The sequence below is a fragment of the Homo sapiens genome, chromosome 9 (assembly GCF_000001405.40).
Source record: "Homo sapiens chromosome 9, GRCh38.p14 Primary Assembly".
NCBI lineage: Eukaryota > Metazoa > Chordata > Mammalia > Primates > Hominidae > Homo > Homo sapiens.
The window spans coordinates 100,162,530-100,178,820 of record NC_000009.12 but is presented as its reverse complement, the minus strand read 5'-3'; the positions used below and the strand labels follow the sequence as shown (position 1 = coordinate 100,178,820).

The 16,291-nt window shown below is 39.0% G+C and overlaps 1 protein-coding gene and 1 pseudogene across 4 annotated transcripts in view; both read right to left on the bottom strand.

Moving 5' to 3' along the window:
* The window catches only part of INVS (inversin), a 202,933-nt gene that overhangs the window by 123,355 nt on the left and 63,287 nt on the right, over positions 1–16,291 (bottom strand). The window lies entirely within an intron of this gene.
* On the bottom strand, positions 1,825–3,822 carry NANOGP5 (Nanog homeobox pseudogene 5; annotated as a pseudogene).

Genomic DNA, 16,291 nt, shown 5'->3' with positions numbered 1-16,291 from the left:
AGTTCCTCTTCTTGAGGAGTATCCTAGTGGTGTTCTCAGTATTTCCTGAATTTGAATGTTGGTCTCTTGCTAGGTGGGGAAAGTTCTCCCGGATAATATCCTGAAGAGTGTTTTCCAATTTGGTTCCATTCTCCCCGTCACTTTCAGGTACACCAATCAAACATAGATTTGGTCTTTTCACATAGTCCTATATTTCTTGGAGTCTTTGTGCATTCCTTTTCATTCTTTTTTTCTCTAATCTTGTCTTCACACTTTATTTCATTAAGTTGATCTTCAGTCTCTGATATTCTTTCTTCGATTTGATTGATTCAGCTATTGATACTTGCGTGTGCTTCACAAAGTTCTCCTGCTGTGTTTTTTTAGCTCCATCAGGTTATTTATGTTCTTCTCTAAACTGGTTATTCTAGTTAGCAATTCCTCTAACCTTTTTTCAAGGTTCTTAGCTTTCTTGCATTGGGTTAGAACATGCTCCTTTACAGAAAAAGCTCAGAGGAGTTTATTATTGCCCACCTTCTGAAGCCTACTTCTGTCAATTCATCAAACTCATTCTCTGTCCAGTTTTGTTCCCTTGCTGGTGAGGAGTTGTGATCCTTTGCAGAAGAAGAGGTGTTCTGGTTTTTGGAATTTTCAGGCTTTTTGCATTGGTTTTTCCTCATCTTCATGGATTTATCTACCTTTGGTCTTCTATGTTGGTGACCTTTGGATGGGGTTTCAGTGTGCACATCCTTTTTGTTGATGTTGATGTTATTCTTTTATTTTTGTTAGTTTTCCTTCTAATAGTCAGGCCCCTATTCTACAGGTTTGCTGGAGTTTGATGAAAGTCCACTCCAGACCCTGTTTGCCTAGGTATCTGCAGCAAAGACTGCAGAACAGCAAAGATTGCTGCCTGTTCCTTCCTCTGGAAGCTTCGTTCCAGAGGGGCACCTGCCAGATGCAAGCCAGAGCTGTCCTGTATGAGGTGTCTGTCGGCCCCTGCTGGGAGGTGTCTCCCAGTCAGGAGGCACCGGAATCAGGGACCCACTTGAAGAGGCAGTCTTTCCCTTAGCAGAGCTCGAGCGCTGTGTTGGGAGATCTGCTGCTCTCTTCAGAGCCAGCAGGCAGGAACATTTAAGTCTGCTGAAGATGCATCCACAGCTGCCCCTTCCCTCAGGTGCTCTGTCCCAGGCAGATGGGAGTTTTATCTATAAGCCCCTGACTGGGGCTTCTGCCTTTCTTTCAGAGATGCCCTGCCAAGAGAGGAGGAATCTAGAGAGGCAGTCTGGCTGCAGTAGCTTTGCTGAATTGTGGTGAGCTCCACCCAGTTTGAGCTTCCTGGTGGCTTTGTTTACACTGTGAGGGGAAAACTGCCTACTGAAGCCTCAGTAATGGGGGACGCCCCTCCCCCCACCAAGCTAGAGTGTCCCAGGTCGACTTCAGACTGCTGTGATGGCAGCAAGAATTTCGAGTCAGTGGATCTTAGCTTGCTGGGCTCCGTGGGAGTGGGATCTGCTGAGCTAGACCACTTGGCTCCCTGACTTCAGCCCCCTTTCCAGGGGAGAGAATGGTGCTCTCTCGCTGACATTCCCAGGCACCACTGGGGTATGAAGAAAAACTCCCACAGGTAGCTTGGTGTCTGCCCAAATGGCCGCCCGGTTTTTTGCTTGAAACCCAGGGCCCTGGTGGTGTAGGCACCCAAGGGAATCTCCTGATCTGTGGGTTGCAAAGATTGTGGGAAAAGCGTAGTATCTGGACCGGAATGCACCGTTGCTCATGGCACAGTGCCTCACGGTTTCCCTTGGTTAGGGCATCATCATGTCTTTTTCTTTGGCTGCTTTTTTTTTTTTTTAAAGGTGATATGGTTGTTTTATTCATTTGTACTTAAACCAGGCAAACTAGTACTGATGTCATTGTGATGTAGCAAATACAAGACCGCTGTCTATAAATATTAGCATAACCAACCAATTAGGGGCTATAGTAAAACACAGAGCCAAAGGGGCTGATGAAATCAGTGAAGTATGTTACAGCTTAATCCTTCACCTTAATAATTGGGTTTTTAACAGTAAGTAAGGCCAGGCACGGTGGCTCATGGTGTAATCCTAGCACTTTGGGAGGCTGAGGCGGGCGGATCACAAGGTCAGGAGTTCAAGACCAGTCTGGCCAACATAGTGAAACCCAGTGTCTATTAAAAATACAACAAAATAGCTGGGTGTGGTGGTATGTGCCTGTAATCCTAGCTACTTGGGAGGCTGAGGCAGGAGAATCACATCAACCCGGAAGGTGGAGGCTGCAGTGAGCTGAGATCGCACCACTGCACTCTAGCCCAGGCAGCAGTGCGAGACTCCGTCTCTAAATAAATAAATAAAAATAAAAATAAGCAAAGACCCCCAATCCCAGAAAATGGGACTATACCTTCACCACATCAATTTGTACTTTTACTTCCTATTCTTGACGCTAGGTTCTAAATCCTAAAGATATTCAAACTAGTATTATATCTACTTATCTATAGCCAGAGACAGCTTCTATCATGTTGTCCTTAGCAGCCAAGGTTATTAAAACCTTTTTTCTCCAGAAAGATCCCATAGGAAAAAAAGAAAACTCTCTGATTTGGCTCCAATCATACCCCACCCTCCACAAAATCGACTTGATAGGCATAAAGGAAACAAAGATATGAAGGCAGAACATGTAGCTTCCAAACAAGTAAAATCCTATGAGGGAGGCAGGAGGGGAGAGGAAGGATTCAGCCAGTGCCCAGACTGAAATTGAGTAATATCAGTTTCACTCATCTTTACATATCTTCAGGCTGCATGTTCTTGGAATAGTTTAGGAATAAATCTATGGTTTGTGGAGTACTAAAATACCTAGTGGTCTGCTGTATTCCATTGTAGCTTTCTTCAGCAGTTTCCAAGGCAGCCTCCAAGTCACTGAGAGAAGAATTTGCTGGAACCGCATGCAGGACTTGCAGAGATTCCTCTCCACAGCTATAGAAGGGATTGTTCCAGGCCTGATTGTTCCAGGATTGGGTGCACCAGGTCTGAGTGTTCAGGAATGGCTGTTCTAGGACTGGATGTTCCAGGTCTGGTTGCCCCAGGCCGAACTGCTACAGGTCTGGTTGCTCTGCATTGAAAGGTTCCCAGACATGTTCGCCAAGCATCCTTGGAGGCAGGAAGAATAGAGGCTGGGGTAGGTAGGTGCTCAGGCCTTTGGAGTCACACCATTGCTATTCTTTGGGCAGCTGTTTTTCTGCCACCTCTTATATTTTATTCTCTGGTTCTGGAACCAAGTCTTAACCTGTTTGTAGCTAAGATTCAGGATGCTGTAAAGTTCTTGCATCTGCTGGAGGCTGAGGTATTTCTGTCTCTGAAATCTATCACTGAGTACACACAGCTGGGTGGAAGAGAACACAGTTCTGGTCATCTGTTTCTTGACCAGGACTTTGTCTTCCTTTTTTGCGGTGCTCTTCTCTGCAGAAGTGAGTTGTCTGCCTTTGGGACTCGTGAAAGAATTAGAGCTGTCCAGACTCTGTGTGAGGCATCTCAGCAGAAGATATATGCAAGGATGGATAGTTTGTTTTGGGCCCACAAATCACAGACATTGGCAAAGAGTCTTTACAGTTGGATGCTTCAGAGCAAGGCAGGTTTTGGGGACAAGCTGGATGCACACTCATGTTATTATTGAAAAAGGGGAGGAAAAAATTTAAGAGCTGGACTGTAAAAAAGGCTAAGGCTTTAAGACTGTTTTTCTGGAAGATGTCAGAGGAATATGAGCTCCAGAAGTGAAAGTATGAAGAAGTTGGGATGAAGTGAGTTCTCCCACAGTAACAGAAGGCAACCAGCTCAGTTCAGCCCTTTGGCTGCTTTTAAGAGTTTCTCTTCATCTTTGGTTTTCAGCAATTTGATTATGGTATTTTCAGGTGAGATTTTCTTTTTTTCGGAGACAGCATCTCACTCTGTCGCCCAGGCTGGAGTGCAGTGGCATGATTCTGGCTCACTGCAACCTCCTCCTCCTGGGTTCAAGTGATTCTCCTGCCTCAGCCTCCCGAGTAGCTGGGATTACAGGCACGCACCACCATGCCCAGCTAATTTTGTATTTTTAGTAGAGATGGGGTTTCACCATGTTAGCCAGGCTGATCTCCAACTCCTGACCTCAGGTGGTCTGCCTGCCTCAGCCTCCCAAAGTGCAGGATTACAGGCATGAGCTACCATGCCTGGCCAAGATTTTCTTTGTATTTATCTTATTGGAGTTCATTACGTTTCTTGAATATTTAAATGTATGTCTTTCACCAAGTTTGGGCAATTTTTGGCCATCATTTTCTTAATTATTTTTCTGCCCCATTCTCTCTCTCCTATCTTTGTAATTACAAACAGTTTGGTCTTTCAATATTGTCCTACAAATCACTGAGACTCACTTTTTTCTTAGTATATTCGCTTCTTTTTTTTTTTAAAGATTGGTTAATTTCTATTGATCTATCTTTAAGTTCACTGACTCTTCATCTCCAATCTGCTGATAAGCCCTTCTAGTGAATCTTTAGATATTGTAGTTTTCAGTTCTAGAATTTCCATTAGTTCTTTTTATAGAGTTTCTATTTTTCTGCAAGACATCCTATCTGTTTATTCATTACGAACATATTTTTCTTTGCATCCTTAAGCAGAGTTAAAAGACCTGCTTTAAATTCCTTGTCTGCTCATTAAAATCTGGAACAACAAAGATAGTTGTTCTCCATTGTTACTTTTTCTCATGAGTATGGAACACAGTTTACTGTTTGTCCTCATGTCTAGCAATATTTGAGAATATCTTAGACACTGAAAATGATGTGTTGTAAAGATTCTGGATTCTGTTATGTTATGCTGAAGACTATTCATTTTTTGTTTTAGCAGGCAGATACCTTGGCTGAACCCAAACTCTAAATTATGTTTTTCCTGCATAGGCAGGCAGCAGCTAAATCGCTGATGAGTTATTTTAGCCTTAGCTTGGCTGCCTGAATTTTTCCCCATCTATGTTTAGGTTAGGGGTTAGTCAGAGATTTTGGCAGTTTATATGTAGAGGTTAGGCCTTCCCTTATATGAATTTCTCTGTTCTGGAAAATCTCTTCTGTTTTTCATTTTTCTTCTTTTTTGAGATGAAGTCTCACTCTGTCTCCCAGGCTGGAGTGCAAGGACATGATCTTGGCTCACCGCAACCTCTGCCTCCCGGGTTCAAGCGATTCTCCTGTCTCAGCCTCCTGAGTAGCTGGGATTATAGGCATGCACCACCATGCCCAGCTAATTTTTTGTATTTTTAGTAGAGACGGGGTTTCACCATGTTGGCCAGGCTAGTCTCGAACTCCCTACCTCAAGTGATCCACCTGCCTTGGCCTCCCAAAGTGCTGGGATTACAGGTGTGAGCCACTGCACCCAGCCTGAAACATCTCTTCTGACTTACAGCCATTGCCCCAAATGCTGTCCTTTGATTCTTCAAAAAGTAAGAATGCAGATTTCTACTCAGTTTTCATCCTCTTTGAAGAACTGAGTAGGCCCTGTTATAAAAGTGGAAACTCACCCAGTGCTATCCTCTTCTTACGGTCTTCCAAGGGCTGATTACAATGCAATTTCTGCCTACTTGGTCACTCTTCAATTCCTCCAGATAGTTGTTTTTATATTTTGTTCAGAGTTTATAAATGTTATCTACTGGAGGGCTGATCCAATAGGAGCTACTACACCATTTTCAAAAGCCATTGCTACTTTAAAAGGCTTTCTAGATGGTTGAGTACTGCTGTATCAATCTTGATGATGTGAGAAGTACTTAGGCCATCTCAATCATCTTCATCCTTCTAACTAAGTTATTCTAAGACAATGGTAGCCCTGCACTGACCACTAAGAAAGCACACACCTTGAGCCATCCATCCAACTATTATAACCTGGGACTTGGTATCTAGTGATTTCAAATCTAGTGATTATCACTGGGCTTTCATATTTTCCCCCATGCAGCCAATTCACTCTATTGAACTAATAATCTGACTCACTGGGTCGAATAGCCACTCAATCTTAAGCTCTATTCTTGCTGGTGATTGGAACCCTCCTACTCTTGGACAGAATTTCAAGTTGACCACTGCCTACCTGTAGTGGACTCACAAGTATTATCTGACTCTCTATCTACTTGTTTTTAAATCTTGTGCTAACAATAGCTGCCCTTGATTACAGGTAAACTATAATCTTTGTGCAGCTCAATGTCCCCTCCTGCTGAACCTCTGTAACCAGCTTCTCTTAGAGCTTTCCTTGTCCAAGTAGATGAGACCAGTACCAAGCTTCTGTCCTTTCTTGCTGAGTTAAATGCTATATCTCATTAATAGATTCCAAAGTTGGAAAAATAAAAGATTTTAGAGAAGTAGTAGTATTTTTAAACATCTTCACAAAACTGAAAAATAGAAAACAAAATGATCCAAGTATGTTAGATATTAAACTGTATCCAGAACGAATTCTGACTCTACAAGAATTCATTGTTTCATTCCTTGAAGGTATTTATTTAGCACCTATTTTGTGCAAGGCATTGTAGGAAGATATAAAGATAAATTTGATAGGATTCTGTATTCTAGAAGCTCATAGAATAACAGGGGTAAATTTGTTCATGAATAATTATGGGATAATAAGGGCTAAGATTCATAAGTAAGGGTCCAATGTTATTCTTAGAACTGTTACCTAAGTGTTTTGGTTGACATTTCTTAATTTTAACTTCAATCTGCTTGAATACATTTTTTTTTTTACATGCTCAAGGGCCTTATCATTTTGTGATCTAAGTCAGGACTCTTTAGACTATGTGTCCCTTAACATAATCAAAGGTTTTACAGAGTCCTTTCAAATATATTAATTTATTTAACTCCTGTAAGAACCTAAGTATTGCCACAAATTTAAAAAATAGGAAACAGAAGTCCAGAGTATTTAAACTTAAAACTTGCCTAAAATCACCGTTAGAAAGAAGCAGAGCCTAAGTCATGAATCTAGGTCTTCTGATTTATATCAGTCCAATGCTTTTGCCAATGATATACTTGATATACATCAGAGAAAAGAAAGAGATGCATGGAGAAAATCATAAAGAAGGTAAAATGTACCAATTTTGTCAAGAGGTATGAGGAAGTAGGAAAGGTATATGAATTTGGTGATCAGAAGGGCAGTGGTGAGTTAGTTGCAAATCCCTTTCATTTAGTCCAATTTAAATAATATTCAAGTTTTAAATCTAACTCTTCAGTAAATATTCAAATTTATTTATTGTCCTCCATGTAGGACAGACACTTCATGGTCTGATCCCACTTTACTTATCCAATATCATCTCTCCACGTTTTCTACCTCATAGTCAATAATACATACATATTGAGCTATAGTCATATGTTGCTTAACAATGGGAATATGTTCTGCAAAATGTATCATTAGGTGATTTTGTCATAGTGTGAACATCATAGTATACACAAACCTAGATGTTATAACTTATTACACACCTAGGCTATATGGTATAACCTGATGCTCCTAGACTACAAACCTGTACAGTATATTACTATATTGAATACTCTAGGTAAATATAACACAATGGTAAGTATTCATGTGTCTAAACGTATCTAAACATAGAAAAAATACAGTAAAAATATTCTATGAAAGATAAAAAACAGGCTGGGTGTGACGGCTCATGGGACCACCATTGTATATGTGGTCTGAAGTTAAACAAAATGTCATTATGTGGCATGTGACTGTACATATTCTTTCCCTCCTTGAGAATACTCCAAGGGAATGGAGGGAATACTCCTTGGGAATGGGCTTCCTCTCTCTTTTCTCCTCTCCACTTAGCATAGTTGCTATCTATTGAAGGAAGCCATTCTTCACCACAACACCCCAGGATGGCTTAGATGCCTCTCTTACATTTTCCTATGATATACCTAGGCTTACTCCTTTCCTAGCATTTAACACAGGAATACTACATTTTCATTACCCATTTAGCTTGTCTGTTGTCCCCATTAAACTATGAACTTCTCTGAGGGCAGGATAGTCCCTGTCATGGTTGTATTTCCATAACTTAGCACAGTGGCTTTTGCACAAATATTTGTTGAGTGAATAATAAGGATTATAAGGAGTTACAAAGCAACAAAATATTCTCATCTAACCTCAAGAGCAACAATTTTGTTTATAGGTCATAGAAAGTATGTTCTGATCAAAACCCCAAACACAAACCTATTTAAACCTATTTAAACTTTGAACTTCTTTTGCAAGGATATCAAATCTGATCTTACCATTTCCTTTTTTATTTTATTTTTTTTTTGAGACAGAATCTTGCTCTGTCACCCAAGCTGGAGGGCAGTGGTGTGATTACAGCTTGCTGCAGCCTCAACCTCCTAGGCTCAAGCAATCCTCCCTCTCAGCCTCCCAAGTAGCTGGGACCACAGCTGTGAACCAACATGACTGCTAATTTAAATTTTTTTTTTTTTTTTTTGTACAGACAGGGTCTCACTATGTTGCTGAGGCTGGTCTCAAACTCCTGGGCTCAACTGATCCTCTGGCCTTGGTCTCCCAGAGTGCTGGGATTATAGATGTGAGCCATTGTGTTTGGCTGACCTTACCATTTCCTATGAGTAATTCTGCTTAAGTATAAATGTACTCACAACTATACTTCCACAGATAGAGCTCTAGAAGAACTGCATGAAATCTGAGAAATTTCTGTAATCACAAATAATTGTTTGAAATTTTAAATATTTCTAGTTTAGATCAAGCAAAGCAAGTTCTTTAGATAACCATAATTCTAAATTCTTAGTCAGTAGTATTGAGAATTTTGCTGACCTTCACTGTGGATTACACAAGTGAGTAAAATCATAGAATTTTCAAACCAGCACTGATCAGGAAGAACTTAATGAAACATTTGTAATGGTAATAAATAGTATGGACCTCAGGGTTTGAAGGGCCCAATGAGATAACCAGGTTCATCCATCTAGTGTCTTTTGTACACACATTTAGTTCTTTTGGAGTATTTTTTGAAGTTATTTCAAATTGGTTAGCTGGGCTTTGAATGACTATAGAAAAGGGACCATGGGTTTATAGAAATGGACTAAGTATATAATCCATAAGTTAGAAATGCCTATTCACATACTCTTGGCATTACTGTCAACTCACCTTTATTCAGGGCTTTCATAAAGATATACTGTATAGAGGATGCTTACAAATGCTCTTAGTACCTACCACATTGTAAAAACATTTTTTAAAATTATACCTGCTTTTGGACAACAGCAATGCACTGAATTTAATTTGTACATAGAGAATGGACTCATAAAGAAGTTTATACTTTTTTTATAAAATTGTGTTTAACATTTATCATTATTAAATTTGCTCAATTTCTATGAAATTTAGTGGAATTTAAAGTCATTTACTTGGCCTTGCAGAGGTAGTATTAAGAGCTCCATAGATTAGAGAACGAGCTAACTCATTTTTCTCAAATACCTTCTCCATTCATACTCCAAATGATGGCATTATACCATAAATGTAAAGGAGTACAGCGTAAGTATGTAGGGATATACAAAAACATTTTGGGACTGAGTTGGACATGATACCATTGATATCACTTAAATGCAATCCTGTCACTTGCTAAGGAAGAAAAAATTAGGCATTCCTTTGAAGAAGTAATTTAGCCAATGCATAATTCTTCATTTTTTGGATTAGTTCAGGTTGGAATAAATGAAAGATTTGTTTTATAGGAAACCACATTTCTAAATGACCAGGGGAGAAAAATAACTGTCACATATCCATACTTCATTATTAACTAATCTATCAGTTTAATGTCTCACTTATTTTTTCTATTAATAGTATTAAAAATGCTTATCACTTGTTAATTCTGACAATGAGATGACAACTTATGCAATTTCTCTCATAAAGTTTCATTTTTCACCTCCATTCAAGTGGTTTATCTTCTGGCATCAGCAAAGACAAAAGAACCAACCTGGATTTGTATAGCGTTATATGTGAATGTGTGTGTATATTACACATCCAACCTTAAAAATGTCATTTAAAGTTCCATAGATTTATTATCTAAAGGGATATTTAATTAAGTTTAAAAGGAAGCATATGTTAGCTGAATCAACTTCAGGAGCTATTCCTTTGTATAAAGGGCTTTCACATGCCTTTCTCCTCAGTTCTGAAAGCACAAGGTTCCTTATTCCCTTCACCATGAATAAGGCCGATATTTGACAGCTTCACAAGGCTGACAGGGTTACCCAACAGCCCACCCTCCCTATTCTCAATCCAATTAGACCTCTAATCCTCCAGATGAAAGGCCCAACTGCTCACGTTCCTCATGACAACGACAGCTATTGATTATTTGTCACTGCAGCTAACACCTTCCCTGTCGAGGCTGCTCTGACAGAAGCAAACCTACCAAATTAGACAGCACTTTATCTGCCCTGGAGGCCAAATGGCACAACAAGTAAAGGCTAATAAATGGTATAAAAATGAACAAATCATAACATTATGACAGGCTGATCGTTGCCAGCAGCCTCCCAGCTCAAGCTTGATGTTCTGTTAGTCTGGCTCCTTCTCTTTCCCCTCTGCTCTAGCTCCAACTTTGACTGAATTAAAGGCCAGAACAATTAAGGCATTTGACCAGCAAAGATAAGCCAATTGAAGTATCACCAAGGGATAAAAATGTCAATAACTGACTGCCATTTGTCAATACAAACATTCTGGAGATGCAAATGCTCCAGCCTCTGCTCTCCACTAGGCTGCACTGACTCACTTTCCAGCAAGAGTCAGCTCAAATGGACAGTCTGTGGCTATTTAACCAGAAGAAAAAAAAAGAAAGAAAAGAGAAAGAAATATCTAGTTCCAAGAGAGGAAATATTCTATGAAGTACAAGCAGGAGTCGCTGGGGTGGGGAGGAAGGATTGTATAAGAAAAAGAAAGATAGCAAAACAGGATTATTCTTCCTTTAAAAATATTCTAATATTAGACAACTGGAATCTCATAGTATGTTTTTTGCCCACAATATATGCATCATGTAAGAAATCGTGGATCACCTGGGAGAATTATTAAAGCTATAACTTTAGAAGTACACTCATTCATTCAACAAATATTTTTTGAGCACCAACTACTAGTTCTAGGCAATGGGGATAAATTAGTGAATAAACAGACCAAAAATAAAACCCCAACTTCAGGGAGTTTATATTATAGTGGGGCAAAAGACAATAAGCAAGATAAATAAGTAAAATATATAGTATTTTAGATAGTGTTAAGTGCTAAGAAAAGACATAAAGCAGAGTAGGGAGAATACAATGTGTGAGGTGAGGTGGGTATTAGATAGGATTGCCAGAAAAGGGTTCACTGAGACAGTGACTTGAATAAGAAACTAATGAAAGCAAGGGAGTTCAACACAGAGATTCCTACTGGAACAGCATTCCTAGGAGAGGGAAGAACAAATGCAAAAACCTGTGGTGAGAGCTTGACTCACCTACTAGAGGAACAGCACTGAGGTCAGAGTGGTGTATGTGGAGGAAATATGTGGAAGATTAGAAATAAGGTCATACAAACAACAGAATTCAGAACATGAAATAAAAGGCTTGATAGATCACAGGAAATACTTAGTCTTTTACTCTGAGATGGAAAATCTTTTTTTTTTTTTGAGATAGAGTCTCCCTCTGCCACCCAGGCTGGAGTGCAGTGATCTTGGCTCACTGCAAACTCCAACTCCCAGGTTCAAGTGATTCTTGTACCCCAGCCTCTGGTGTAGCTGGGACTACAGGCACACACCACCGTATCTGGGTAAATTTTGTATTTTTAGTAGAGATGGGGTTTCGCCATGTTGGCCAGGCTGGTCTTGAACTCCTAACCTCAAGTGATCTGCCTGCCTTGGTTTCCCAAAGTGCTGGTGTAAGCCACTGCGCTCAACTGGAAAATCCTTTAAAGGGTCTGGAGCAGAGGACTGACATGCTTTGACTTAAGTTTTAAAGGATCATTCTGGTTGATATGTTGGGCATAGACTGCAGGGGGCAAGAGCAGAAACCAGGAGACCAGTTAGGACACTATTATAATTATCCAAGCAAGGTTACTACAATAATCTAACCCAACATGATGGTGGCTAGGACCAAAGTGGTGGTAAAGGGAATGTTGAGAAAAGTGGTTGCATTCTGGATAAATCTAGGTTTGTAGATAAATCAACAAATCAAATTTGTTAATAGACACCAGTATCATACAGGTGAACAGGACTTTGTATAAAAATATTAATAGGTGCTCAGTGTGTGTTAGTTGAATTGAATTCTCTACCTGGCAGTTCTGCTAAAAATGCTACGCCTTGCAGCAAGGGATCTGTGGCTTCTTTTTTTTCTTAAACAAGGTCTCATTCTCTTGCCCAGGCTAGAGTACAGTGGTGGGAGCACGGCTCCCAGCAGCCCTGACCTCCCAGGCTCAAGTGGTCCTTCCACCTCAGCTTCTTGAGTAGCTGGGACAACAGGCATGTACCACCATGCCTGGCTAGTTTTTGTTTTGTTTTGTTGTTGTTGTTTGTAGAGATGGGGTCTTCCTATGTTGCCAGGGCTGGTCTTGAACTCCTGGGCTCAACCCCTCATCCTGCCTAGGCTTCCCAAAGGAGCTCTGGCTAAACACAAATTTTCTAAAGATGACTTTAAGCACAGACTTTAGAGTCAAACAGATACATATTTGAACCCTGGTTCTGCCATTTAATGATAAATTACTCAAGCTCTTGCATCTCAGGTTTTTCATCTAGACAATGTGATATTCTATCATTCTTGACTGGGTGAGCAAAAGGAGTAGAGATGTAAGAAGAGGTTAAGTTTAAAACCTTTTAGCCCAGAATTAGAATAGGAAGTGATGAAATATTTTTATTGCTTAAAAAAATCCGCAAGCTCTGTCCACTATAAAAGCCTAGAAACAATCACCAACCTGGTAGCAGTGAGCACCCTAGATCCTAGATTGTGTTCTCCAAATACTTTTTCCTACTAAAAGTAAAGCTATTGGAGAAATAGCTGATTCCAGGTCTAAAACAAAAAATATAGAAATGAATCTGGAATATTTGGACATAGCAGATAGCAAGTAAGCTATCAAATACTAGGCTCATGTCAAATGGATCAAGAAGTCTACTTGACAGGCCTCCCACAGGCCAAAAACAGAGTAATTTGAATACTAATTAAGGATAATAACTTCAATGGATTGATATAGTAAATATGTTAAAATGATACTAAAAAATTCTAGGCCTTGTTCATAATGATATTAAAAATGAAAAAAAATTAATTGATTATCCTAGGAGGATGCCAGGAAACCAATTCATTATTTTAAAAATTGGTAAATAAAGAGGGAGAATCAAGCATTCATCCTTCCTTTCCTATATGAACTGTACCATTGAGTAATCTAATAGTAGATATGGGGAAGTTTCTCTTTAATGAATTATTCCAGCTAATAACTGTAGGATAGATGGTAGAATTAAAGTATCAGCATTTTGCAACTCCTAATGAACAATGGGCTCTAGGCACTGAGCACCACTAATTGTTAACATCATAAAAACAGACACAGTGAAACATTATGTCCCTCCTAAGAATGAATGTACCATAATAATAAAACAGTTTGCCAAAAATTGAACAGTAATTCTAACAAAAAATGATAAATGCTTGAGGTGATAAATACCCCACTTACCCTGATATGACTATGACACATTGTATGCCTGTATCAAAACATTACATGTACCCCATAAATACATATACCTACTAAATACCCATAAAAATGAGAAATTTAAAAAAGAAAAAAAAAATTGAACAATAATCAGATCAAGTCTTTAGATCCAACAGCTAATTTACAGGAAATACATAGGACTGAGGAATAGGTTTATCACACCTGAAGGGAGAATCATCTTACTGAGGCAATCAGTCTAGACTAAGACATCAAGTTAGGGCAGGGGTTAAGCCACAATAGCCAAAAAGTTGTAAAAAAAAAAAAAAAAAGAAAAAGCCAAAAGAAACAAAGAGAGATGGAGGGTGAAACTATAGATTAAAAAAGACTTGACATATCAGCCAATCACAATATATAGCTCTTATTTGGAATCCAATTCAAACATGTGTAAATAAACAAAAACATTTATGACATTTATGAGACAATGGTAATTGGAACATCAATTGGCCATTTTATGATACTATGATATTAAGTGATTCTTGTTACATTTTTTGAAAAGTACTATCATGATTACATTTTAAAAGGTCATTTCCTCTTAGAAATACATATTGATATAATGATATCCCTGCAATATCTGAGATTTGCTTTAACATGGGAAGAGGAGAAGTTAATGAAGGAATACAGGAAATAAGATTAGCATGACCTGGTAATTACTGAAGCTGAGTGATGATACATGGAGGGTCATTTTACTATTCTATTTTTGAATATGTTTGAAGTTCTCCTTAAGAAAACATTTTAAAAAATGAGGCTTAAAAAAAAAACTTAGTGTCAAAGTCATTGACTCTTCCTTTCACATCTATAATTTGCAGAAAATTCAAGATATATTTAATATTGGCTACAACACGGTGACTAGAGTTAATAACAATGTATTATGTGCTTGAAAATTGCTAAGAGAGTAGATTTTAAGTGTTGACACCATGTATAAATATGAGGTAGTTATATATAATTAACATATGTACTACCTCATAATTAATTTAGTCAATCCAGAATGTATACACATTTCAAAACATCATGTTGTACACATAAATATATACAATTTTTGTCAATTAAAATAAACAAATTAGAAAAAAATAAAATTGGACTTCTAACCACCTCTGCCACTACCATTCTGGTCCAAGCCAACATCAACTCTCAGCTTCCTAATTAGTCTCTCTTCTGCTTTCATCCTTTGACAGTCCATCCTCAACACAGCAGTTAGAATGAACCTTTCAAAATATAAGCTAGATCATATTTTCTGTGCTCAAACACTTCAATAACCATACCCTCTTGTGCAGCGTAAAAGTAGAATCATTAAATAGCATACAGGCCTTCTGTGATCTCTGAACTCATCCTTACTTGACTAGAGCCACAGTGGCCTCCTTGCTAACTGTTTCTTGTAAATACAAAGCACGTGCCCATTTCTGGACCTTGCACTTGGCATATTCTCTCCCAGAAAGGTTTGTTCCTTCATAATCTTTAAGTATTTGCTTAAATATTACTTTCTTAAGTGAGGTCTACCCTGATCACCCTATTTATATTTGCAAATCCCTACACTCCCTATCACCCTCACCTGTCTTATTTTTTTTCCATAGCATGTATCCCCATCTGATATAATATATACTTTAAAAATGTATTCGCTTGTTTATTGGTTTGTTTCCCACCAACAAAATGTAAGATCTTTGAAGTCAGGGATTTTTGTTTTGTTTTGTTCACTGCTATATCCCACATATATAGAGCAGTACCTTATGATTAGTAGGTGCTCAATAAATATCTTGTTATTAAATGAATTCTTTCAATTTTCAGATCATTGCTTTTTAAATTCTGAATTCAGAGACTAGATGATTGCTTTTTATCACTACACTTCTCAGTTAAGTTTGTGGGGTAACAACATGTGAGGTGGTGCCCGCGTTTGTTACTGGAACAGCTAAGTGATTTGACTGTTTCCTCATTTGGGAGCATTTGGGAGGAAATATGCACATTTGCTAAAAAAAAAAAAAAAAAAATAGAAAGAACATCAAGTTAGGGTAAAAGTTAGGGTCACCCCAGTGGCAAGAAAGAGTCTGTAGAGCTGGTTTTCTTGTAGCCTAGAGCTAAAGGGCAATGCCACTAGATGGAATTCCATGAAGGTGACCTACAGCCTATGGCCATTGCTTTTGAAAGTAGTTAGGTTCACAAGGCTCTGTAAGTGTCCAACAGACATTGTGGCTGACACCATGGATTGCCTGGCTAATATATATGCCCATCCTCTTCTAGGCTTTTAGGCCAACAGAACCCTGATATTGGTTGGTCTCCTTTTAAGTAGATATGTCCTTCAGAGAAGGCTGGGTCCTTGCCAAACTCAGAAGGTGACTTTTTTTTTTTTTGAGATGGAGTCTTGCTCTGTCACCCAGGCTGGAGTGCAGTGGCATGATCTCGGCTCACTGCAACCTCCGCCTCCCAGGTTCAAGCAATTCTCTGCCTCAGCCTCCTGAGTAGCTGGGATTACTGGTGCCCGCCAAGGTGACTTTGAATGACATAGCAATCAGGAAGTTTTCATTTTCCTTGCCAAGGGATAGGATTAGGCCTGGGAATCAAAGGAATGGAAAGAGCATCTGCCACAGGGCTTCTGAGAAGATTTTCCATGTTGAAAAGATAAACAAGATACGGGTATTTGATTTTTC